The sequence below is a fragment of the Homo sapiens genome, chromosome 3 (assembly GCF_000001405.40).
Source record: "Homo sapiens chromosome 3, GRCh38.p14 Primary Assembly".
NCBI lineage: Eukaryota > Metazoa > Chordata > Mammalia > Primates > Hominidae > Homo > Homo sapiens.
In genome coordinates this window covers 47558759-47581676 of record NC_000003.12, presented here as the reverse complement: position 1 = coordinate 47581676, position 22918 = coordinate 47558759, and the positions used below count along the sequence as shown (strand labels likewise).

General features: G+C 50.3%; 1 protein-coding gene and 1 pseudogene across 6 annotated transcripts, besides 7 other annotated features; both read left to right on the top strand.

The window, feature by feature from the left end:
- CSPG5 (chondroitin sulfate proteoglycan 5) lies at nucleotides 1437–19439 on the top strand. Of its 6 annotated transcripts, none has more exons than NM_001206942.2 (5): nucleotides 1437–1787; nucleotides 3749–4844; nucleotides 8803–8991; nucleotides 12450–12525; nucleotides 18916–19439. In NM_001206942.2, exons 2-5 carry the CDS (start codon nucleotides 4066–4068, stop codon nucleotides 19075–19077), a joined length of 1206 nt encoding a protein of 401 aa, NP_001193871.1. In that variant the 5' UTR covers nucleotides 1437–1787; nucleotides 3749–4065; the 3' UTR covers nucleotides 19078–19439. The 6 variants fall into 6 exon arrangements, with proteins under 6 accessions (NP_001193871.1, NP_001193874.1, NP_006565.2 ...); NM_001206945.2 differs by having other exon boundaries at nucleotides 12450–12606; NM_006574.4 differs by lacking the exon at nucleotides 1437–1787 and adding an exon at nucleotides 2812–3080.
- Nucleotides 1483–2187: an enhancer, noted in NCBI's record as "H3K4me1 hESC enhancer chr3:47620980-47621684 (GRCh37/hg19 assembly coordinates)". NCBI's record gives its function as "activates a minimal SCP1, AML or CMV promoter by ChIP-STARR-seq in naive H9 embryonic stem cells {active_cell/tissue: H9 hESC(naive)}" and the evidence as "EXISTENCE:reporter gene assay evidence [ECO:0000049][PMID:30033119]".
- Nucleotides 3312–3361: a silencer, noted in NCBI's record as "silent region_14312". NCBI's record gives its function as "represses an Ori minimal core promoter by ATAC-STARR-seq in GM12878 lymphoblastoid cells {active_cell/tissue: GM12878}" and the evidence as "EXISTENCE:reporter gene assay evidence [ECO:0000049][PMID:35858748]".
- Nucleotides 3402–3461: a silencer, noted in NCBI's record as "silent region_14311". NCBI's record gives its function as "represses an Ori minimal core promoter by ATAC-STARR-seq in GM12878 lymphoblastoid cells {active_cell/tissue: GM12878}" and the evidence as "EXISTENCE:reporter gene assay evidence [ECO:0000049][PMID:35858748]".
- Nucleotides 3512–3601: a silencer, noted in NCBI's record as "silent region_14310". NCBI's record gives its function as "represses an Ori minimal core promoter by ATAC-STARR-seq in GM12878 lymphoblastoid cells {active_cell/tissue: GM12878}" and the evidence as "EXISTENCE:reporter gene assay evidence [ECO:0000049][PMID:35858748]".
- Nucleotides 5204–5498: a silencer, noted in NCBI's record as "tiled region #12920; K562 Repressive DNase matched - State 8:EnhW". NCBI's record gives its function as "represses a minimal TATA promoter and a strong SV40 promoter by Sharpr-MPRA in K562 cells {active_cell/tissue: K562}" and the evidence as "EXISTENCE:reporter gene assay evidence [ECO:0000049][PMID:27701403]".
- Nucleotides 8392–8892: an enhancer, noted in NCBI's record as "H3K4me1 hESC enhancer chr3:47614275-47614775 (GRCh37/hg19 assembly coordinates)". NCBI's record gives its function as "activates a minimal SCP1, AML or CMV promoter by ChIP-STARR-seq in naive H9 embryonic stem cells {active_cell/tissue: H9 hESC(naive)}" and the evidence as "EXISTENCE:reporter gene assay evidence [ECO:0000049][PMID:30033119]".
- Nucleotides 8893–9393: an enhancer, noted in NCBI's record as "H3K4me1 hESC enhancer chr3:47613774-47614274 (GRCh37/hg19 assembly coordinates)". NCBI's record gives its function as "activates a minimal SCP1, AML or CMV promoter by ChIP-STARR-seq in naive H9 embryonic stem cells {active_cell/tissue: H9 hESC(naive)}" and the evidence as "EXISTENCE:reporter gene assay evidence [ECO:0000049][PMID:30033119]".
- On the top strand, nucleotides 21153–21448 carry RN7SL870P (RNA, 7SL, cytoplasmic 870, pseudogene; annotated as a pseudogene).

The following is a 22918-nucleotide window of genomic DNA, read 5'->3' as shown; positions in this document are numbered from 1 at the left end:
TCTGGACTGCAGCCCCCTGGTCAAGCCGGGGGTTTTTCATGCAGTCGGAGGCTGGCTGCATTCGTGGCAATGGACCTTGAGCCTACCTGAGCTCTGGAGGCAGGCTGCCAACCCAGTAAGAACCTCAGAGGCATGAAGAAACTGTTGACACATAAAACATCCCTGATGCCCAGGTGCAAGAGACATAAATACGGGGACATGGATATAAGGACGTCAGTTTCCCTTTCTTTCACTCTGTGGTTCCTACATCTTCTATCTCTTCTTTACCCTACCACAGTCCTGTGCTCAGAAGAAATACTCATTTGACTCTCTGGTTACCAAGCATTTTCACATATGAGAGACAGGTTGCTAACTCAAAGTCACGCTGCAGCTGAATCCTGCCCTTCCCATCACGTTCCACTGACTGAATTTTCCCATTCATCTTGTGGAGGTGTTACCCAACCAAGTGTGCTATGCTCAGTTCTCAAACTGCTAGTGAGATCCACTAGGGAAGATCAGAATGAAACTGAGTGGCAACAATTGATTTAAAGTCTCAAGTTGGGCCGGGCACGGTGGCTCATGCCTGCAATCCCAGCACTTTGGGAGGCCAAGGCGGGCGGATCACCTGAGGCCTGGAGTTCGAGACCAGCCTGAGCCAACATGGAGAAACCCCGTCTCTACAAAAAATACCAAATTAGCCGGGCGTGGCATGCCTGTAATCCCAGCTACTCGGGAGGCTGAGGCAGAGAATCACTTGAACCCAGGAGGCAGAGGTTGCAGTGAGTCAATATCACACCATTGCACTCTAGTCTGGGTGACAGAGTGAGACTCTGTCTCAACAAAAAAAAAAAATTCCAAATTGAAGGAAGCGTTAGCAGACTTCATCTCCAGGAAAGGGAAGAAGAAGATACTTAAATAATTAACAAAATATATTTAAAATGAGTGGGAGAACTTCCTCCATTAAACCCTGTTGAAAATGTGTGAGTGGTTGTCATGCCCCAGACATCAAGGAACCCATCCATGAGGTCTTCCCACACAGACTGGCCTCAGGAAGGGAAGGAGGAGGTAGGCCGCTCTGACAGCCACAACCCGAGTTGAGGAAACAAGCAAAGGAACACAGAGAGTCTACATACAGTAAAAGGTGACAGGAGTTAAGCTGCACACAAGGGAAGCAGAGATGGGTTGGAGGCAGTTAAGGGTGCGTTGCTGCCTCTGTGGCTGAGGTGAGTGCAAAGCCCTACATGGTCCCCTGTTTAGAGAAGGCTATTGTTTCAAACATATTTTACTTGGTCCCCGGAGGCAGCATGAAACTATGAAAGAAAGAGCCTTACCCCTTTTTTCAAGGCTCTCCAGACCACAGTTCTGGGATGGGTGTGGGTGGTTGCCATTCGTTCATTTATGCCTGTCTGATATGGAGCCTCCCTCTGTTACCAGCCCTGTGCACTCAAGTGCCTTGCAGTCCAGTGAGGAATAACTGTAGATAAGATGAGATGATGGGCATTAAGTGTAACTGCTGAGAAGCCTTCATAGAGGGAAAGGTGATAAGAACTGAGTTTTTCTGGCATGAGGAGTTTACCAGGCAGGAGAGGTGGAGACGCTAGGCTAGGCAAATAGGCTGCAGCCATAGTTCTGCTGAGAAACAGGTTTTGAACCAAGGCAACTCCATCTGGAGATATGTATCAGAAAGATTAGGAGATAGAATCTCCATCTTGGTCACTTATTTGGTCTTCTAAGACAGCAATGGGACCGTCTCTTAAATACTGGAGTTGTCCTATCTCCTTGGGCTGATACCCTGAACTGTCATTTGGGTGAGTAACACATTAAGGGGTAGACGGTCGGTTTGGGGGAATAAACTAAGTAACTAGGTTGCGGTTCCTCCTGCCGACTAAGCAGACCTCCTGGTGCGTGGTCTTGGGTTGCCCTGTGAGCCCTGAAGCTGTGAATGGGCCCCACAGATCACTCTAAAGCCAAGCATCCATGTGTGCCCGGCTGGGGATCTAGACCCCCCTGGTCTACCCAGGAACCTGAGTTTTGGTGGTCTGAGACACCTGGGGGACGACGTATCCCGGAGAAGGGACCAGGATTAAAGGCCGCTCCCCAGGCTGCCCGGAGACTAGAAGGAAGGCGAGGTAGCCGCAGTCCCAGGGAGGGTCTTACCCCTTGCTCCCGGGATGCGTTATGGCGGGCCTGGCTGTGCGAGATCTAGGCTAGTGGCTTTGGCTGCGAACGGATTAGATCTGATCCGATTAGAGCCTGGGCGGTCGGCTTCGCCCCCTTGCCAGGCTCTGCCAACGCCCGCCCCTCCCTCGTGGAGACCCGGAGACCTCCCTGAGAGCCTTCCCGCCCGGAACACGGGATTGGTGCAGAATCCGAGAGGCTCCATGCGCCCCGGGCCTGGCTTGTTTCCACAGTGGGGGCTCGTGCTTCCGCCCCCTGCGGCTCTTCTGGACCCCGCCCCGACCCTGCGGGTAACTGGGCCCGCGACGTCCCCGCCTCCGTGCTTGCCGCGTGGCGGGTGGGTTCCTCCGGGTCGGGGCCCCGTGCCGCCTGTTCACCTGGGGCGGGACCGTGGCCCCATCCCACAGGTCTCCCGCCCGTGCACCTGCCGCCTAACGCCGCGCGCCGCGCCGTGCGCCTGCCTCGCGCTCCCCGTCCGCCTGCCCCGCACTCCCCGTCCGTGTGTCTCCTAGTCCCCAGCGAGGGGTCTGTCTGTTCCCCTGGCAGGCTGACCAAGGGGCCGGCGTCACCGCTACGTGCGGCGGGGCCGGCGCGGCGGGCGGGGTGAGGGCGGCGCTGAGCGCAGCGGCGGCAGCGGCGGCGCGGGAGGCGGGGAGGCGCGGCGCGCCGGGGACAGCGGCGGACGGCGGCGGCGGCGGCATGCGGCTCCTCGCGCTGCCCATCGTGGGCTGAGGCGGCCGCAGAACCGGCGGGAGGCGCGGCGGCCGGGCGAGCCGAGGGCGCAGCCAGCCGGGCGGACCGCGGACAGCGGTCGGGGCGCCGCGCCATGGGGCGAGCCGGGGGCGGGGGCCCGGGCCGGGGGCCGCCGCCACTGCTGCTGTTTCTGGGGGCCGCGCTGGTCCTGGCCTCTGGGGCCGTGCCGGGTAGGTATGACTGCGCCCGGGACCCCCGCGGCCCTCGTGCCCCACCCAGGGCAGGGGTCCCGCTGGCGGCGGGGACAGGTGGAGCTGTGAGCTGTGGCAAGGGGGCGGGGCACCGCCTGGCCGCGGCCGGGCGGCGGAATGGTCCCAGGAGGTGGTGGGGGTCCGGGAAAGGCCGACCCGCGTGGGGGCCGACCCCGGTTGGGGTAGCCGGGACCCAAGCGCGCGGGCCGCGGTGCGGACTGGGGGCGGGGCCGGGGGCGGGGCCGGGGCGGGGCCGGGGCGGGGCCTGAGGGTGAGACTTCGGGGCGGGACCTGGAGCTGAGGGCGGGAGCCAGTGGACGCGGCTCAGGGTGGGTTCCCGAGGGTGAGACTTATGGGTGGGCCGAGCTGGGGGCCGCCCTGGCCTGGCTCTTCAGACGGCGGGGCAGGTCGGGCGGGGCCGAGCCGCGAGGCGTTGGGCGGGGTGTGATCCTCGTCTTGGGGGCAGACTCCGGGACGGGGCTTAGAGGTACCGGGTGGCTGGGGTCACACTGGGGCGGTGGGGTCTGAGGGTGGCGAGGTCTGGGTTGACCAGGTCTAGGCGAGCGGGCCTGACCGGGGCGGGCCGGGGCTCCAGGGCTCCTCAGCGCGCCGCCCTGACGTCCCGCCCCTTGCCCTCCCGCCCGCAGCGCGTGAGGCGGGCAGCGCGGTTGAGGCCGAAGAGCTGGTGAAGGGCAGCCCGGCGTGGGAGCCGCCTGCCAACGACACGCGGGAAGAAGCCGGCCCACCAGCGGCTGGGGAAGATGAGGCGTCGTGGACGGCGCCCGGTGGCGAGCTGGCCGGGCCAGAAGAGGTGCTGCAGGAGTCGGCTGCGGTGACCGGCACCGCCTGGCTGGAAGCTGACAGCCCAGGCCTGGGAGGAGTGACCGCAGAGGCGGGCAGCGGCGATGCCCAGGCCCTTCCAGCTACGCTCCAGGCTCCCCACGAGGTCCTCGGGCAGTCAATCATGCCCCCTGCCATTCCTGAGGCTACAGAGGCCAGCGGGCCACCCTCCCCCACCCCCGGCGACAAGCTGAGCCCAGCTTCTGAACTCCCCAAGGAGAGCCCCTTGGAGGTTTGGCTGAACCTGGGGGGCAGCACACCCGACCCTCAAGGGCCAGAGCTGACTTACCCATTTCAGGGCACCCTGGAGCCCCAACCGGCATCAGATATCATTGACATCGACTACTTCGAAGGACTGGATGGTGAGGGTCGTGGCGCAGATCTGGGGAGCTTCCCAGGGTCACCAGGAACCTCAGAGAACCACCCTGATACTGAGGGAGAGACCCCTTCCTGGAGCCTGCTTGACTTATACGATGATTTCACCCCCTTCGATGAATCTGATTTCTACCCCACCACATCCTTTTATGATGACTTGGATGAAGAGGAGGAGGAAGAGGAGGATGACAAAGATGCAGTAGGAGGTGGAGACCTAGAAGATGAAAATGAGCTTCTAGTGCCCACTGGGAAGCCTGGTCTGGGGCCCGGGACAGGCCAGCCCACCAGTCGGTGGCATGCTGTCCCTCCACAGCACACTCTGGGGTCGGTCCCCGGCAGCAGCATCGCCCTCAGGCCCCGCCCAGGAGAGCCAGGCAGGGACTTGGCCTCCAGTGAAAATGGCACTGAGTGCCGCAGTGGCTTTGTGCGGCATAACGGCTCCTGCCGGTCAGTGTGCGACCTCTTCCCAAGTTACTGTCACAATGGCGGCCAGTGCTACCTGGTGGAGAACATAGGGGCCTTCTGCAGGTAAGGGCATGGCAGGCAGGTGCATAGGGACACTGAAGAGTGTATGTGAGGCCGACTCAACAGAGGGCAGCGTAGCCGGGCGCGTTGGCTCACGCCTGTAATCCCAGCACTTTGGGAGGCTGAGGCAGGCGGATCTCCTAAGGTCAGGAGTTCAAGACCAGCCTGGCCAAGTTGGTGAAACCCCATCTCTACTAAAAATACAAAAAATTAGCTGGGCGCGGTGGCAGGCACCTGTAGTCCCAGCTACTCAGGAGGCTGAGGAAGGAGAATCATTTGAACCCGGAGGGTGGAGGTTGCAGTGAGCCAAGATCGTGCCACTGCCCTCCAGCCTGGGTGACAAAGTGAAACTCCATCTCAAAAAAAAAAAAAAACAAAACAAAACAGAGGGCAGCGTGACAGGCACAACTTGCAAGAGGTTGTACAGTCGCAGGATTCCCAGGTGGAGAAATGTTCACTCAGGCTTCTTCTACAGAATTACTTGGTAAAATGCACTTCCTGTGACCTTATCACTAGGAGAGGTTCCTCAGAAATAAGATTATGTCTTTCCTCTGTGTGTTGTGTCCTTACCCAAACCCTCAATTACAAAGGCAAAATGAGGCCGGGCGTGGTGGCTCACGCCTGTAATCCCAGCACTTTGGGAGGCCGAGGTGGGCACATCACCTGAGGTTGGGAGTTCGAGACCAGCCTGACCAACATGGAGAAACCCTGTCTCTACTAAAAACATAAAAAATTTAGCCGGGTGTGGTGGCACATGCCTGTAATCCCAGCTACTCGGGAGGCTGAGGCAGAATTGCTTGAACCCAGGAGGTGGACGTTGCAGTGAGCCGAGATCACGCCATTGCACTCTAGCCTGGGCAGCAAGAGCGAAACTCTGTCTCAAAAAAAAAAAAAAAAAAAAAAAAAGGCAAAATGAAGGGAATTCTTTAAGAGTTTTGGAAAAAGGGCTGGGTTGAGGGGTGTTTGCTGGAGGGTTCTGGTGGTACTGGTGAGAGGGGTAGGCCCATAAACCTACTCTGTGGGATAAAGACAGCTGTTGAACACCGCTCCATGCCTTGTGCTCGGCGGGAGGAGGGGCCAGTTCCCTGGAAGGAATGTAGGCACGCAAACTCAAAAGGGAGGACCTTCTTGGAAACAGACCCCAAAATGCAGCCACTCACACAGATAAAATCAAGCTGAGAGTCTTCGCATTGCAGATGTGCGGGTGTTTCTTGACTTTGGGAGGTGGCTTTTTTCTTTCTACTTTGATGTTTGTCTACCTTGGGATATCAAATCCATAATCCTTTTAAAGACTCAGAGTTTAGTTTTCCTAAGGGCATTGTCTGTAGCTCATCAGTAATTACCCTACTCACCTCACTCTTAGGAACTGTCCTCACAGTGAGGTATTTAACTTGCTGGAGAGCTTGCAGCCTGATTCCGGAAGAATCCCAGGGTGGGGTGATCAGGTGGTTTGCTTGTCTCCATCCTTTACAGGCTGTAGAAATGGAGGAGAGCCCTCAGACTCCTTTGAGGGTTGTCTCCATTAGTCCTAGATGGAGCATTTCTGTCATCTGTGTGTCTCTTTTTATTTTTAGTAGAGATGGGGTTTCACCATATTGGCCAGGCTGGTCTCAAACTCCTGACCTCAAGTGATCCGCCCACCTCAGCCTCTCAAAGTGCTGGGATTACAGGCGTGAGCCACCACGCCCGGCCAGGGTATCTCTTTTTCAAGTGTCATTCTCCATCCTTCTTGTTCTTGTTCGTTCTGCAAGTATATGATGAATTCAAGTTCCTTAGGTCTTGATGTAGTATATCAGAGAATAACATGTAGAAAGCAATGAGTATTTTGTCCTTGGCGTTGTAACTTAAGTTCCAGTTTCTTTCTATGAAGTTCTTTTTTTTGTTGTTGTTGTTTTTAGAGACGGAGTCTCACTCTGTCGTCCAGGCTGGAGTGCAGTGGTGCAATCTCGACTCACTATAAGCTCCGCCTCCCAGGTTCATGCCATTCTCCTGCCTCAGCCTCCGGAGTAGCTGGGACTGCAGGCGCCCGCCACCACGCCCAGCTAATTTTTTGTATTTTTAGTAAAGACGGGATTTCACTGTGTTAGCCAGGATGGTTTCAATCTCCTGACCTCATGATCTGCCCTCCTTGGCCTCCCAAAGTGGTGGGATTACAGGCGTGAGCCACCGCGCCCAGCCGAAGTTCTTTATTATAAATGGTCATGACATTAGGGTCACTCATAGGATGTGACCACACAGTTCTTGGAGTGGTCCAGCCATTGCCAGAAGGAGGTACTATGATTAAGAAATTGTAGCAATTTTATTTTTAAAAAGAAAATATGGCAATAAACTAACTTGCCAGTTGATTAAGGGCTACCAGAAATATGAGGAAACCCTGTGATTTTGCTCCTCAAAATTCAGTTTGGGGGACTATAGTGATGATTTCAGCCTGGGGGCTGTGCAACCTCTCTGCAAAATCATCATCTTTCATCCTATTGGAGGCCTGGAATTTTCACCTTCAAAGTGAACTCCCCATAATAGTATGAAATTTGGAGCCCTTGCTGCCTCTAGAGAGCTGTAAAAGTCCCCAGAATCTCCTGGAACTCTCAGAAAATTCCCAAGTGGAAGAATAAGATTGTCTTCCTCAGTAAGCTACATGGCTCTGCCAGCATGGGTCTACCAGCCTCTCACTGCCTCACAAGGGCTTCTCCACGTGTCCACTCCAGTTCCCCTTGCTTAGCTTCCATCCCAGGATCACATTCGGGCCTCCCTACCAGATTCCTCCCCTGGCTGTGTACACCCAGGCCTGGCCACGGCTTGAAAACTATTTTTGCATTCCACTCACAGGAGACTGCTGAGCCGTTGGTTGCAGACTGCAGTGTGCCTTTGTCTCTGTCACCCTGACCCACTGCAGGGAAATGAGCAGAGCTGTGGCGGAACTTCTCTAGAACACCGGGGTAGAGGCCCCACTTACAGGGGTCTGCATTCCCTGGCAACCTCAAACAGATAGCCTCCCCATGACGGCAGAGGCTCAGTTGGAAAATGAAGAATTTCTTGCTAGCCATGTCTCCCCACCCTATTCTAGATGTGGAGTAGCCAGTTTTCTGGTGCATAATTTCCCCGTTTCTGGAGCCCTTTCTCTTGTCTGTCATTCACCCTGAGGTTCATGTCCTCCCTCCTTTGCCTGCCTCTGTATCCTTCCACATCTTTCCTCTTTGAAGCAGCCTGGTTCCCATGGAAACAGCAATGTCATTGGAAGAGTTGGAGCCTGGGAATGTCCCCAAGGGCAGGAGAAAGTCACTCAACAAAAAGGCTAAAACCCACCCAGAGGGTTGATTCTCACTGTGCTTGCATGACAGTTCTCATAGTACTAGGATAGGGAGCTTTAGGGGCAGAACTTGGGGGGGCTGCAGAGATAGAAGAATCTACATCCATCTTTCTATTTGTCCTTGTCTGTCACTTCCTTATTTTTAGGTGTCTTCTCAGCCACGTGAACTAGGTGGGACTGCAAAGCAGCAAGATAGGTTTGCATGTGCAGGGCAGGTCCTGGGACTTTGTAGCTGTAGCTCTTATTCCTCTTGTTTTTCATCTTTCTTTCACCCAGAGCCCAGGGCAGGGAGAGGCCTGAGAGGATCCTGTAGGTGTCTTCATTGAGGCTGCAGAGCAGAAGACCAGGATTCCCTTCCCTCCTTGGTCACTTAGCAGTCAGAGAACTTTGACCAGTTCACTCAGTTTCTCTACACCTCGGTTACCTCATTTATATCACAGACCTCAGAGCTCCCTGGCCCACTTCATAGAATGGTTGTAAAGGCAGGGGCGATCACACCAGCTCTGAGGTCTGTGCAGATTCGGAGCATTGCAGTTCCTCTAGATGGCCTTCGGAACAGGCTGTGGAGATAGGTGTTGGGGTCAGGGCCCAGGCCCTTACTGTGGCCGTGGCTGCCTGCTCCATCGCCACGGTTTCTCAATGTCGCTGCTGCAGGTGCAACACGCAGGACTACATCTGGCACAAGGGGATGCGCTGCGAGTCCATCATCACCGACTTCCAGGTGATGTGCGTGGCCGTGGGCTCGGCTGCCCTCGTCCTGCTCCTGCTCTTCATGATGACGGTGTTCTTTGCCAAGAAGCTCTACCTGCTCAAGACGGAGAATACCAAGCTGCGTAGGACCAAGTGAGTCTGTGTCACTCACCCATCCACCCAGGTCAGGGTGTGGGAGGCCCCCCGACGCTGCTGCACCCCTCCAACTGATCCAGGGACTTTGTCGTGAGGGTTTCTGGCACCTGTGCTCCATTCCCAGCTGTTTTGTCTGTGCTAAAAATTCACTCAGGCTCATCTGTTCCTACACAAAATGTGCTGGAGCTGCAGCAGAGGTGAAGCCCCTGTGGCACACTGCCACTGTCCAGCAGCTTTCCCAAAACCCTGCACTAGGCATCTGAGAGCCTGCTGTGAAAAAGGCAGCCAGCATGTAGCTACTCCTCCTCTAGTCCCCAGGTAAGTTACTCAGTCTGCCCACCTGCCTGATAGACCCTTCTTCCCTGGACTGTGACAGCCAGCGGCCAGTGCGAGATTTCATTCATAATTCTGCGTGGAGGAACTCCATCTCCTTCACATCTGTCACCCAAAATCAGCTCCTCCTCGGTGAACACTGAGGAGAAAGGGTTTATTTAGCACCACACTGCATTGCTTTTTGAAAGCTAGTCAAGCCTGTGTCCAATCAGAAGTGCAAGGAACTTAAGAAAATCCTCTTTACCTCTCCTGAGTAGAATATGTGGGGAGAACTAGGGTTAACTTCCTCTACTGTGGATTTTAAGGGCCATACGGGATGTAGAATCTTATTTCAGCTCTTCTCTTGGCAAAGCAGTGACTGTTGTGTGCATGTGAGAATCAACATGTGTTTGCCTTTAAGCCCATGCCTTGAACACTCGGATGTGACCTTATACGCTATGAGAAAATTACTCCTATTACTAAGCAAAGTTAGAAAACCTTTTGGAAGTGTCACAGGAGTCACAAAAGGGAGATTGGAGTTCAGCTTCCTTGGGACCCCAGAGACAATTTATGCAGAACTGCCCCCACTTCCCTTTCAACCTGTTGCCCCATTAATCCCCCTCCCCTTGACCTGAGACTCCCTCTAGAGAATGTGACTGAAGGACTTTCCCTGGGTCCTGGGAAAAGGACAAAACACCATCTGTTGCTCCTTTGCTGGGTAGACTCATGCAATGTACAGATGCCAGCAGCTCTCTGCAGCCTTTCAGCTAACCGCCGCGGGGCTGGTACGGCCTCTCCATTGTGCCTGTGCACTGAGGCGGGCTGCATCTACACACGTGATCACTCCAGAAAGACACAGTCCTGGACCCCTGGCTCCTCACGCCTACACCAAGGGGGTGGGTGAGCAGGGGTATCCAGGGGGCAGGAGATGGGACTGCTTCAATCACAGCAGCTGCTGATGAGGATGGGGGAGAGAAAGGAACAACAGCCAGGGCAGTGGAGAAGCAAGAGCTGAGGCCAGGTGCAGGACCCTATTCTAGGGCCTCTTCCTCTAGCCAGCCCTGTGTTTTTCACAGAGCATGGCCCTCTTGTTTCTCCACATGCCTTCTTTCTTTCCCAAGCCTGGTTACTGCTTTGATGGTGTGACATGTGCCTGGTGCACTGCAGATACTGCCATAATTTATTTATTCTAAAATATACCTTTTTTCCCCACATATTAACATCTCTGAAATTGGATTGTGTCTTACAATCACTGCCATCTTTTTTTTTTTTTTTAATTTAATTGAGACAGGGTCTCACTATGTTACCCAGGGTGGTCTTGAACTCCTGGGCTCAAGTGATCCTTCCACCTCAGCCTCCCAAATAACTGTGACTACAGGAATGCACCACTGTGCCCAGCCACTGGCATCTTATGATCACTGTTGGCCATATGGTAGTTATGATGTAGTTGTAATTCCCTGGCATGCACAAATGGGTTCCTAGCTGTTCATATTGTTGTCAGTCCCTTATCTAAAGTCTAAATGAACTACTTCAAGTATATAAGAAAAGCTCAGCTGGGCACGGTAACTCATGCCTCTAATCCCAGCACTTTGGGAGGCCGAGGCAGGTGGATCACGATGGGTGGATCACGAGGTCAGGAGTTCAAGACCAGCCTGGCCAAGATGGTGAAACCCCGTCTCTACTAAAAATACAAAAAATAGCTGGGCATGGTGGCAGCCACCTGTAATCCCAGCTACTCGGGAGGCTGAGCCAGATAATGCTTGAACCCAGTAGGTGGAGGTTGCGGTGAGCCGAGATTGTGCCACTACACTCCAGCCTGGCCAACAGAGCAAGACTCTGTCTCAAAAAAAAAAAAAGCTCTAGGTGATAAGAAAGTATTGGATGATGGTTTAAGTGGTGGAAGTGTTTTTATTTTTTCTTAATGGTACATCAAATAATGGTGCACCTTATTACAATCCATGGCATTTGGCTGGATGCTGTGACTCATGCCTGTAATCCCAAGACTTTGGGAGGCCAAAGCAGGAATACCACCTGAGCCCAAGGGTTCGAGTCCAGCCTGAGCAACATAGCAAGACCTCATCTTTACAAAAAAAAAAAAAAATTGTTTTAAGATAATCTGGAAGAGGGAAGGGAGAGCATTAGGACAAATAGCTAATGCACGTGGGGCTTAAAACCTAGATGACGGGTTGATAGGTGCAGCCAACTACCATGACACACATATACCTATATAACACACTGACATATTCTGCACTTATATCCCAGAACTTAAAGTAAAATAAAAAAAAAAAGATAATCCATGGCATTTGATGAAATACAGTATTTGACTGGGCGCAGTGGCTCACACCTGTAATCCTAACACTTTGGGAAGGCTGAGGCAAGCAGATTGCTTGAGCTCAGGGGTTCAAGATCAGCCTGGGCAACATGGTCAAACCCCATCTCTACAAAAAATACAAAAATTACCTGGGCATGGTGGCATGCACCTGTAGTCCCAGCTACTTGGGAGGCCGAGGTGGAAAGATCACTTGAGTCCAGGAGGTCAAGGCTGCAGTGAGCTGTGATTGTGCCACTGCACTCAAGCCTGGGCAACAGAGTGAGACCCTGTCTCAAAAAAAAAAAAAAAGAAAAGAATAGAAAAGCCTTTAAAAACCGATAACCAGCACCAGGTACAATTCTGTACTTATCAATAAAATTTAAAATAATTTTTTTAATAAAGAAAGAAATACAGTATTTGTTTTTTGTAGGGATTTTTTGTAATTTTTTTTTTTTTGAGATGGAGTCTCGCTCTGTCAGCCAGGCTGGAGTGCAGTGGCACGATCTTGGCTCCCTGCAACCTCCGCCTCCTGGGTTCAAACAATTCTCCTGCCTCAGCCTCCCAGGTAGCTGGGATTACAGGCGCCTGCCACCACGCCCAGCTAATTTTTGTATTTTTAGTAGAGACGGGGTTTCACCATGTTGGCCAAGCTAATCTGAAACTCCTGACCTCGAGTGATCTGCCCACCATAGCCTCCCAAAGTGCTAGGATTACAGGCGCGAGCCACCACGCCCAGCCGAAATACAGTATTTGATCCAGAAGCTGAGACATTGTCATGTTTTGCCGTGATTATTTCACTTACATGTTTCCTTCACTCTTCTCTCCTAACCAGCAAATTCCGGACCCCATCTGAGCTCCACAATGATAACTTCTCCCTCTCCACCATTGCCGAGGGCTCTCACCCAAATGTAAGGAAACTTTGCAACACTCCCCGTACCTCCTCCCCCCATGCCCGTGCCTTGGCTCACTATGATAACGTTATCTGTCAGGTAACTTGTTTTCTTCACATCTCTCCTCTTATGCATGCTTTGGCCCCTGGCCCATGTCTGATGTCTATTTCAGAATATGAAATCCCCAGAGAGCTCTGGAGGTCAGCCTAGGGCAACTGAGTTGGGCAGCAAAGGTGGGAATAAGCACTTGATGGTGTATCACTTATTTGACAAGCAGAATTTTCGATACAAAAGGTCTTTTTCTTTTTAAAATTTTTGTAGAGATGAGGTCTTCCTGTGTTGCCCAGGCTGGTCTCGAACTCCTGGCCTCAAGTGGTCTTCCTGCCTCAGGCTCCTAAAGTGCTAGGATTATAGGTGTGAGCCACCTGCCTGGCTGAGAAGATCTTTTTCTAGGGTTACTCATGATTTTTAGCTTCATCTAAGCTTTAGAAGTCTGATTATTGTCTTATTTTCCATATCAAGGAGAAAGGCTCTGCTTTCACTGCTGGGGAATTTCATGGTGGTCAGTGAAGCAAACGGTGGTTGCTCTTTGGGATGGGTGGAAAGACTTCTGTGTCCTTGCTGCTATTTGAGGATCCTAAGAACTGGCAGGGTTATACACAGCTGGTTAAGGCCAAGGCCCAAATACAAAACACTGGCAGAGCCTTAAGTCCAGGAGTAATCCTGTTCTTAGGAGTATGGGCTTATAAATATCAGTTGAAATCCAATAAAAGATCCTAATAGACCATTTTCTAAAGACCCTGGCCTAGTGTATTGCCTGGATTAGACTGACCAGTCAAATACTAGAGAGAATTTCAAAAACAAGGCAGAAACCATATCCAAATCTCAAATCATGCCACATCCAAATCCTAGAATTCTCTATATAATGCAGGTTCCATACTTCAAGATAAATGCATTTTTACACAGATTATTACACAGATAAGCAAGTTAAACTGAGACTTCAGACTGAAGCAATGGACTTTAAGAGGAAATTTAGAAGAAGTTCTTAGAAATCATGGACCATAGAGTGTCAGACCTCACAGGGGCCTCAGCACTCTAGACCAATACGGTCCAGTGGAACTTTCTGTGAAATGGAAGTGTTCTATATCTGCTCTGTCTACTACAACAGCCACTAGCCACTTGCGGCTGTAGAGCTCTTAACTACCACATTACACAGTGCAGACCTAGACTCCTGGGCTCAAGTGATACCCCTGCCTCAGCCTCCTGAGTTGCTAGGACTAGAGGCATGTGCCACCACACCTGGCTAATTATTTTAACTTTTGTAAAGTTGAGGTTTTGCCATGTTGCCCAGGCTGGTCTCGAACCCCTGGGCTCAAGTGATCTTCCTGCCGCAGCCTCCCAAAGTGTTGGGATTACAGGTGTGAGCTACCATGCCTGGCCTTCTTCCTTTTATAGATGGGGAAATTGCAGCCCCAGAAGGGGGAAGAGAGAATAAGAGTAAATGTGTGGCCTCATTCACAAAACCCCAGAACAGGAAATTTTGGCCTGGTAGAGGAGAAGTAAATGGGTGAATTTAAATATGAAATGAAAGAGGTAAACTTAGGATAATTTTTTAAAGTCTTTGATATAAAGGGTAGAAAAAGAACAGATTATTTCACTTGGTTTGTACCAAGATACAACAAGTAAGGTCAAGATGAACATTATAACCAAGGAAACACTATGTCTTATAAACTCTAAAATTGGTCACCATGTTCATCAACCCACAGAGGGCAGGACAGAGTCTCGGTGAGCACATTATCCCGCCCTCTGCAGTAACATGCACACAGTTACCACTTGCTGAATACTAGTGAGTGATGGTGGGCTATGGGGGCTCTCAGTTCCATTGGCTGATCTGCCATCCTGCAGATGGCAGCAGGTCTGCCAGGACGGGAGCTCCTGTAGTCAGCATGTTCACTGTCCACGGTTGGACAGAGTCCTCCCACTCTGCTTGACAGAGTGCAAGCATCCTTAGGAAAGTTTCTGACCCTTGTGTTTCTAATACCACAGCTTCAGACACCTTTCTTCTTCTCAGAGGGGGAAAAGAAAGAGCTCCTCTTGGAGGGCTTGGCTACACAGCCGGTGCGAAGGTTTCTTGTTCTTGGCTGATCCAGCTTTGTGGAAAGTGAGGCTTTTGTACCTGAACGCTGCCACTGACCCTTAGTTCAGAAGATGGCAAGCCTTGAAAACAGCAGAGCAGGGGGTGGTCAGCCACGGGAGGGTGGTGGTCGGCCACGGTGTGTGGTTGGCCACAGGCAGTGGTGATCTAGCATGGGGCTTGGGGGTCAGCCACAGGGCGGGTGAGGCTGGTCGGCCATAGTGGGCTCTGCCTGAGACAGGGTGATGGGGTGGCCAGGGCGGCACTCAAGCCATCCCTTAGGAAGCAGCAAGATCTGGCTCTGGTTCTCTCCTGGCTCCTCTTGGATCTTGAGGCTGGTGCCTTTTTTTATTGTAACCAAATACCCAGACTTCAAGGAGATTGAGGCTGGTGTCTTTCCGTCAGCTTGTGCCCAAGGGGACATCATCTTCTCCTCTCTGAAAGCACTGTGGATGTGAGGGGTGACTCTCCTATCCAGCAAGGAATGTAGTGGTGGATTTTCTACCTTCATCTCTAATTCTCTCCACCTCATCCAAAGGTCAAACTTAGTCATATTCAAGATCTTGTGGGCATTGCCGATGAACACGGTTGCCACTTGTTTGTGAAGTGAAGCCCTGCTCACTGCTACAGCCGCCACACTCACTGCCTGCAAGGGGTGCCAGCAGCCGGGGAGAGTGAGAGATCCTCCAGATGATACGGGAGGAGAGACAAGGGGGCGCCGGAGTCCAGCCTGCCTCGTGGCTTCTCCCCACCCCTCTCTCCCCACCCCCAAACTCCTTGCTGGTATTGGTTTTCTCTAAAATTTTGGAGAGTTTTATTTATTTGCATCGAGGTGTTATTTCTTTTACATACGTAAAATAGATTGAGCAGGTCATTTTCCTACACTGTCGCAATCACCTCTACCAGCCACACTCTGAAAAGATTGCAAGCAAAAAAGTCTGGGGCTTTGGGCCTGTGACAGGGAAGGGTCAGTGGCTGGTATCTGTGCCGGTGGCACCTCTTTCCCTCCTCTGCTCCTCTCTGCCCTCAGGCTGATGTGCGGCTCTGTAGCTGGTGGGCCTTAGGCTGAGTCTGTGTGAGTGTCTTGCGTAGCTGAGCAACCAGCCTTGAAGGGTATGTCAGGAGGCACAGAGAATGTAGGAAGCTGCCCGTGCTCCAGGCACACTGCGTGAATGAAGCCACCAGAAACCCAGGGCAGCTGCCCCAACACTGGGCTGCCCTGATGGTCCTCACAACGGTGCTGTCGAGACCATGGGGGTAACTTGGGTTGTGCTAAGATTTGACAGACCTTCCGGGATTTCAGTTTATTCCTAGGATTTCTCCATTGATGTTCCTGTGCTTTTTTTTTTTTTTTCCTATTTAACTCTTTCCTACTCTCCAGACTCTTCTCTTGCATGTATTTGTTAAAGCACTGACTGCCCACCCTCTTCCAATAGATGTTTGCCTCTGGCCAGGCCTGAACCCACATGACCCCTGGGTTGAAGGGTGCCCATACTGCTGGGATTGAATGCTGGGAGCAGTGAGTCCACAGTGGTTCCTAGGAACTTATGCCAGATGTTGATCCAGCTCCCTTGTGATGAGGTACTTCTATTAAGTCAAAGGCAGTTGGACCTGCTGTGGAATTCAGCTACCCTTGGCTTAATAGGATCAAGTTCTGGAGCAAACACCTGAGTTAGGAGAGCCCCATCTTGGTGTAGACATTCCTTTGCCTCTTGTGTTTGTTGGAGGTATTCAGCTTGTCTAATAGCACTGTTTGCATATCTCTTGCTTTTGGGATATGCTTCTTCCATCCCTTGGCTCAGAAGACAGTTTTCTAATCTAGATCCCATGAGCCCTCGAGGGCTCAGGTTTAATCTGGGAGCCCACCTTCATGGCATCAGAGCTCTGAGACCAGGGTCTGTGAGGAGTCACTTAGTCCACTTTTCTTCACATCATGAGAATGTTTCTGTACCCCTGTATGCCCCCAGAGAATATGTGATGAAGGAGTTGAGGGTGGGAGGTTATCTTGAAAGACATAAAAGCAAGTTGTATCCTTGTAAGAGGAGAGGTGATTATAGGTCCTCTTGTCCTGTTCTAGATTTTAGTGTGATTCAAAGTCCATCCTACCTAAGATACTTATAGCTCAGCTCTCCAGCTTTCATGACCATGGTTTCCCCCAAACAGTACAGAAGTACACGAAATAAAAAAGTGCAGCTCTACTTCACCCCCACCTCCCTCTCCGTAAAGTACACACGTGTGTATATATATATACACACACAAACACACACCTATATCTATATTTTTAAAACATAAATGAGAGTTTGCTATACATGTTCTACCCCTTACTTTTTTTCAATCAGTGTATGATGGAGATCTTTCCGTCTCAGGAGATGGACATTTATGTCACTGCACAGTGTTTTGTGATTCTAAGCAGTGATTGACCATTCAACTGGCCGCGCGTGCTGTGTGCAGCTGCCTTACCTGACATCTGCCTCAGTACTCTATGAAGTTCATTTTCTTGTTCTTGTCTCATTGGAACAAGAAACATGTGTTCCCCTGTCTATAAATCATGTGTGAAGTCTTTGAAACTCTACTAAATTGTCCTCCTTAATCTGGGCCTCTGGAGAAGCACCGAGTGAGGCTGTGGGCAGTGGGCAGCTGGCAGTGATTTCCATATGCACAGAACTCATGGATGCCCCGGTGTCCTGTGTGTACAAGAACCATGGAAAGCCCGGGGTCTCTCCCTACTTTCTTTCCAACTCATCACTCCCATAACCTAGTGCTGTTATGGGTCAAACTTGGTAGCAGGCAGCACAGACGAGGGCTCACCAGACTTCTCTGGAGAACACTCTGGTCCTTAAGCATGATGGTAATCTTGAATTTTGGTAGTGGTTAAAGCAAGAATGGCCTTAGCTAGCTGGTCAGATTAGGACACTCTCTACCTTCTTGTCATCCATGAATCTGCCTTAGTGGTTACACACTGTCTTCTATCAGCAGAGTTCCAAGCACTTACAACAGCTATTTGGGGCACCAGAGAAAGAACTGAGGCCCACTGAATTGCACTGGGTATATTCCCCTTAGGTGGTCCTAAAGGAAATGAGTAAAGCAAGATTTGCCACAGAAGTTCTCTGAACGTGCAGAATGTAGACCTGGAGGACTATGTGCTAGTGTGAGCTTCCTGAGAACCTTTAAGAGGCAAATTCAAGCCGGCGTGGTGGCTCACACCTGTAATCCCAGCACTTTGGGAGGCCGAGGTGGGTGGATCCCTTGAGGCCAGGAGTTCGAGACCAGCCTGGCCAACATGGTGAAACCCTATCTCTACTGAAAATACAAGTTAGCCGGGCATGGTCACGAGCGCCTATAATCCCAGGTTCTGGGGAGACTGAGGCACGAGAATCCCTTGAACCCAAGAGGTTCAAGATTGCAGTGAGCCGAGATCACACTACTGTACTCTGGCCTGGGCGACAGAGCAAGACTCCTTCTCAAGAATAAATAAATAAATACATCAATAAATACATAAATACATAAAATGCAAATTCAGCTCAGGTTCAGGAGTTTGTCAGAGGGAGCTTGTCACAGGGCTGTAGGCAATATACATGGATTATTACATTAGAATCAGCAGTACGAATATCATGTGATGCAGAGTGTGGCAAGCCATTGAGGCAGCCAGGGTCATTCGGGCTTGGATTGAGGACATACCTTTTTAGCTAGCATCTTTTAGCAGGTTCACTTGTGACAATGAGAGGCTGACACATCTTTGACCTCTAGTCAGCGGAGATGCTCTTACTGTGGGGAGAGAGGCCCCAGCATAGTCAGGAGCAGTTCTGCACTTTACCAGTTCTATGCATACCCCACTGTATACACTGATGAGACATGTTCCCTGACCAAGACATCTTTGTGAAAGCAAAACTCAACAGGATGGAAGGCCAGAGGAAGGCCGGGCTCAGCAGGCCCCGCAGAGCTCATCAACACATGAGGCTATAGAGGCGCCTGGGCCAAGGGACTCTTTCTCCCCAATCTCTGTCCAAGAGAAAACCTTGGACATGGCACAAATTAAAGTTATTTGTAAACTGATTACTGTCAAGTTTTCCTCTCTGCCTGGCCATTTCTTGTAAGGATGACTTTCCTAAAAAGTTGCTGCTAATGAGTTACTTTGGTTCCTTTTAGTTCATTCAAGTCTTGGAGCTTTTTCCTTGTTTCAGTGATGCTTCCTTCAACCAGATAGAAAACGCTGATATTATTATTTGGTTGCTGTATGCATTGTCTCCCCCCCCCCAACTTTTTCCCTCTTCCAGGATGATCCTAGTGCTCCCCACAAAATCCAGGAGGTTCTCAAGTCCTGCCTGAAAGAGGAGGAGTCATTTAACATCCAGAACTCCATGTCGCCCAAACTTGAGGGTGGCAAAGGTGACCAGGCTGACTTGGATGTGAACTGTCTTCAGAATAATTTAACCTAAAGCAGAGCAAGAAGAGAGGAAGCGGGGGTAGTGGGTGGGGGGTAGGGGAAGAAACATTATCTCCTCTTGTACAGAGTCTATTTCTTGTAACCATTTGTTAAACTCTTTTCTTTTTCTGATCTCATGGCATGCTTTTATGTATTTTGTACAGGAGGCAAAAAAATACTTAAAATAAGCAAAGAAACTGAACAGAATTGCATACATTGGGTTGTTTTTTCTGTGCTGTCTGTACATTGCTTCTGCTGCTGTGATTTCTAAACCTGTGCTGTTATTCAACTGACTTTTTTTTGTACTTTGACCCACGTTTTTTTGAAATACCAGTAAAAAACAAAGTTCTTGAAATAAAACTTTTTAAAAAGTTATTCATTTTCTTAGTCTTTGTGTCCACTCCTTTAAGTTTGAGTTGAGTAACCTTCATTGAAGATGTTTGTTTATTTATTTATTTATTTTGAGGTGGAATCTCGCTCTGTCACCCAGGCTGGAGTGCAAGGCTCACTGTAGCCTTGACCTCCCCAGCTCAAGTGATCCTCCCACCTCAGCCTTCTGAGTAGCTGGGACTACAGGTGCAAGCCACCACACCTGGCTAATCTATAAATTTTTTTTGGAAAGGCAGGGTCTCACTATGTTGCCCAGGCTGGTCTCAAACTCCTGGGCTCAAGCAATCTGTCTCCTCAGCCTCCCAAAGTGCTGGAATTACAAGTGTGAACCACTGCACCTGGCCAAAGATGTATATTTATTTATATTTATTTATTTGTTTATTTATTTTTTGAGACAGAGTCTCACTCTGTTGCCCAAGCTGGAGTGCAGTGGCGCGATCTCGACTCAATGCAACCTCCACCTCCCGGGTTCAAGCGATTCTCATGCCTCAGCCTCCCAAGTAGCTGGGACTACAGGTGTGTGCCACCATGCCTGGCTAATTTTTGTATTTTTAGAAGAGACGGGGTTTCACCGTGTTGGCCAGGCTGGCAAAGATGTATATTTAAACATGTTTGAAATATCAGAAATGCTCTGTGTGTTTGTCTGCTTAGGCTATCACGACAAAATACCACAGACTGGGTGGCTTAAACAGCACAAATTTATTTTCTCATGGTTCTGGAGGCTGGAAGTGCAAGATCAACCCAATAGGGTTGGTTTCTTACGAAGCCTCTCTTCCTGGCTTGCAAACAGCTGCCTTCTCATTGCGTCCTCACACGGCTTTTTCTCTGTATGCATGTGGAAAGAGAAAGATCTTTGATGTCAGTTCCAGTTCTTACAAGGACACCAATCCTATTGGTTTAGGGCCCCTCCTTTATCACCTTTTTAATCTTAGTTAGCCCATTAAAAGCCCTATCTTCAAATACAGTCACAGTGGAAACTGGGGCTTCAACATATGGATTTTGGGGGAACACAATTCAACCTGTAACAGTCTGTATCACCTATTATTAAGAATACTCTGGCTGGCCGCAGTGGCTCACGCCTATAATCCCAGCACTTTGGGAGGCCGAGGCGGGTGGATCACGAGGTCAAGAGATTGAGACCATCCTGGCCAACATGGTGAAACCCCGTGTCTATTAAAAATACAAAAATTAGCTGGGCGTGGTGGCGCATGCCTGTAGTCCCAGCTACTCGGGAGACTGAGGCAGGAGAATCACTTGAACCCGGGAAGCAGAGGTTGCAGTGAGCTGAGATGGCGCCACTGCACTCCAGCCTGGCGACAGAGGGAGACTCTGTCTCAACAACAACAACAAAAAAACTCTTTCAGGCCAGGCATGGTGGCTCACACCTGTAATCCCAGCACTTTGGGATGACACAGGGGGATCACCTGAGTCAGGAGTTTGAGACTAGCCTGGTCAACATGGCGAAACCCCATCTCTACTAAAAAAAACTATATATATATATAGTAGCCGGGCATGGTGGTGGGCACCTGTAGTCCCAACTACTCAAGAGGCTGAGGCAGGAGAATCACTTGAACCTGGGGTGCGGAGGCTGCAGTGAGCCAAGATCGCACCACTGCACTCCAGCCTGGGTGACAGAGTGAATCTCTGTCTCGAACAAATATATACACTTTCATTCTTTCGAAAATGTTTAGTAAGCTGGGCAGCATGATACACACATATAGTCCCAGCTACTCTGGAGCCTGAGGCAGGAGGATCACTTGAGTCCAGGAGTTCTGGGCTATAGTGCACTATGATGATCAGGTGTCCACACTAAGTTTGGTAACAATATCTTGTCCCCCTGGGAGTATGGGACCACCAGGTTGCCCAAGGAGGGGCGAACTAGCCCAGTTCAGAAGCATAAAAGGTCAAAACTCCCGTGGTGATCATTAATGGGATTAAGCCTGTGAATAGCCGCTGCACCACAGCCTGGGCAACACAGCTGAGAACCTGCCTCTGAAAATTAAAATAATGTTTATTAAGCACTTACTCTGAGCTAGGCACTATGCTAGATGCTAGGAATACTAAATGAATAAAATAGATCCAAACCTCAACAAGTTAGTAGTCTGCTTGAGAAACAGACATAAACAAGCAATTGTAACAGTGTGTATTATAATAGTGTGTCAGTACAAATAATTAGAATAGTGTGTCAGTGTGTAGAAAGCTATGAGAGTTGGAGTTAAGATTTCAGGGCAGGGCGCCGTGGCTCACACCTGTACTCCCAGCACTTTGGGAGGCCAAGGCGGGCGGATCACGAGGTCAGGAGATCGAGACTGTCCTGGCTAACACGGTGAAACCCTGTCTCTACTAAAAATACAAAAAATTAGCCGGGCGTGGTGGCGAGTGCCTGTAGTCCCAGCTAAGCGGGAGGCTGAGGCAGGAGAATGGCGTGAACCCAGGAGGCGGAGCTTGCAGTGAACCGAGATCGTGCCACTGCACTCCAGCCTGAGCGACAGAGCAAGACTCCGTCTCAAAAAAAAAAAAAAAAGATTTCAGAAAGCGGCCGGGTGCAGTGGCCCACGCCTGTAATCCCAGCACTTTGGGAAGCCAAGGTGGGAGGATCACCTGAGGTCAGGAGTTCGAGACCAGCCTGGTCAACGTGATGAAACTCCGTCTCTATTAAAAATGCAAAAATTAGCTGAGCATGGTGGCGGGCACCTGAAATCCCAGCTACTCGAGAAGCTGAGGTAGGAGAATTGTTTGAACTCGGGACGAAGGTTGCAGTTAGCCGAGATCGCACCACTGCACTTCAGTCTGGGCGACAGAGCAAGACTCCGTCTCAAAAAAAAAAAAAAAAAAAAAATATATATATATATATATGTACACACACACACATATATATACATTTTATACATATACATATATATACACACATATATATATTTTTCTGAAAGGCTTCAAAGAGAGGAGGTTTAAATTGCACTTTGAAGGATAAGGAGGCATTTTTCAGGATAAAATAGGAGATGAGGGCATTAAAGGCAAAGGTAGAATACTCAGGAAAGTAGTCTATATGATGAGTATATGACGAGGCTGAAAAGGGCAATTTAGGACAGATTACAAACAGCCTTGAATGCCATTTAAGCACAGAGCTGAAGGATGGTCAGATTTGTTTTGTGTAAAGACAACTCTGGAGACAGTGGGTAAGGCAGATTGAGGATGGGGGTTGTAGAATGGGGATAGATTAGAGAGTGAAGATTTCAAATAGCCAGACTTACCAACAACTGGAGGAGTTTTCTTGAACATTTTGCCTGTGTTCAATCTGTGATCATTCCAATAACTGGAATCCCTGTGTGTTTCTGTCACCTAATTTCTGCTGGTTCTCCCTGATGTGTGTTCACATGTGCCTCATTTTTTACTTTGTGCTAGACATCGTATTTGAAAACCTGTTTATTAAAGTATTTTGAAGCCTAGGACGATTTCTCCCTCCA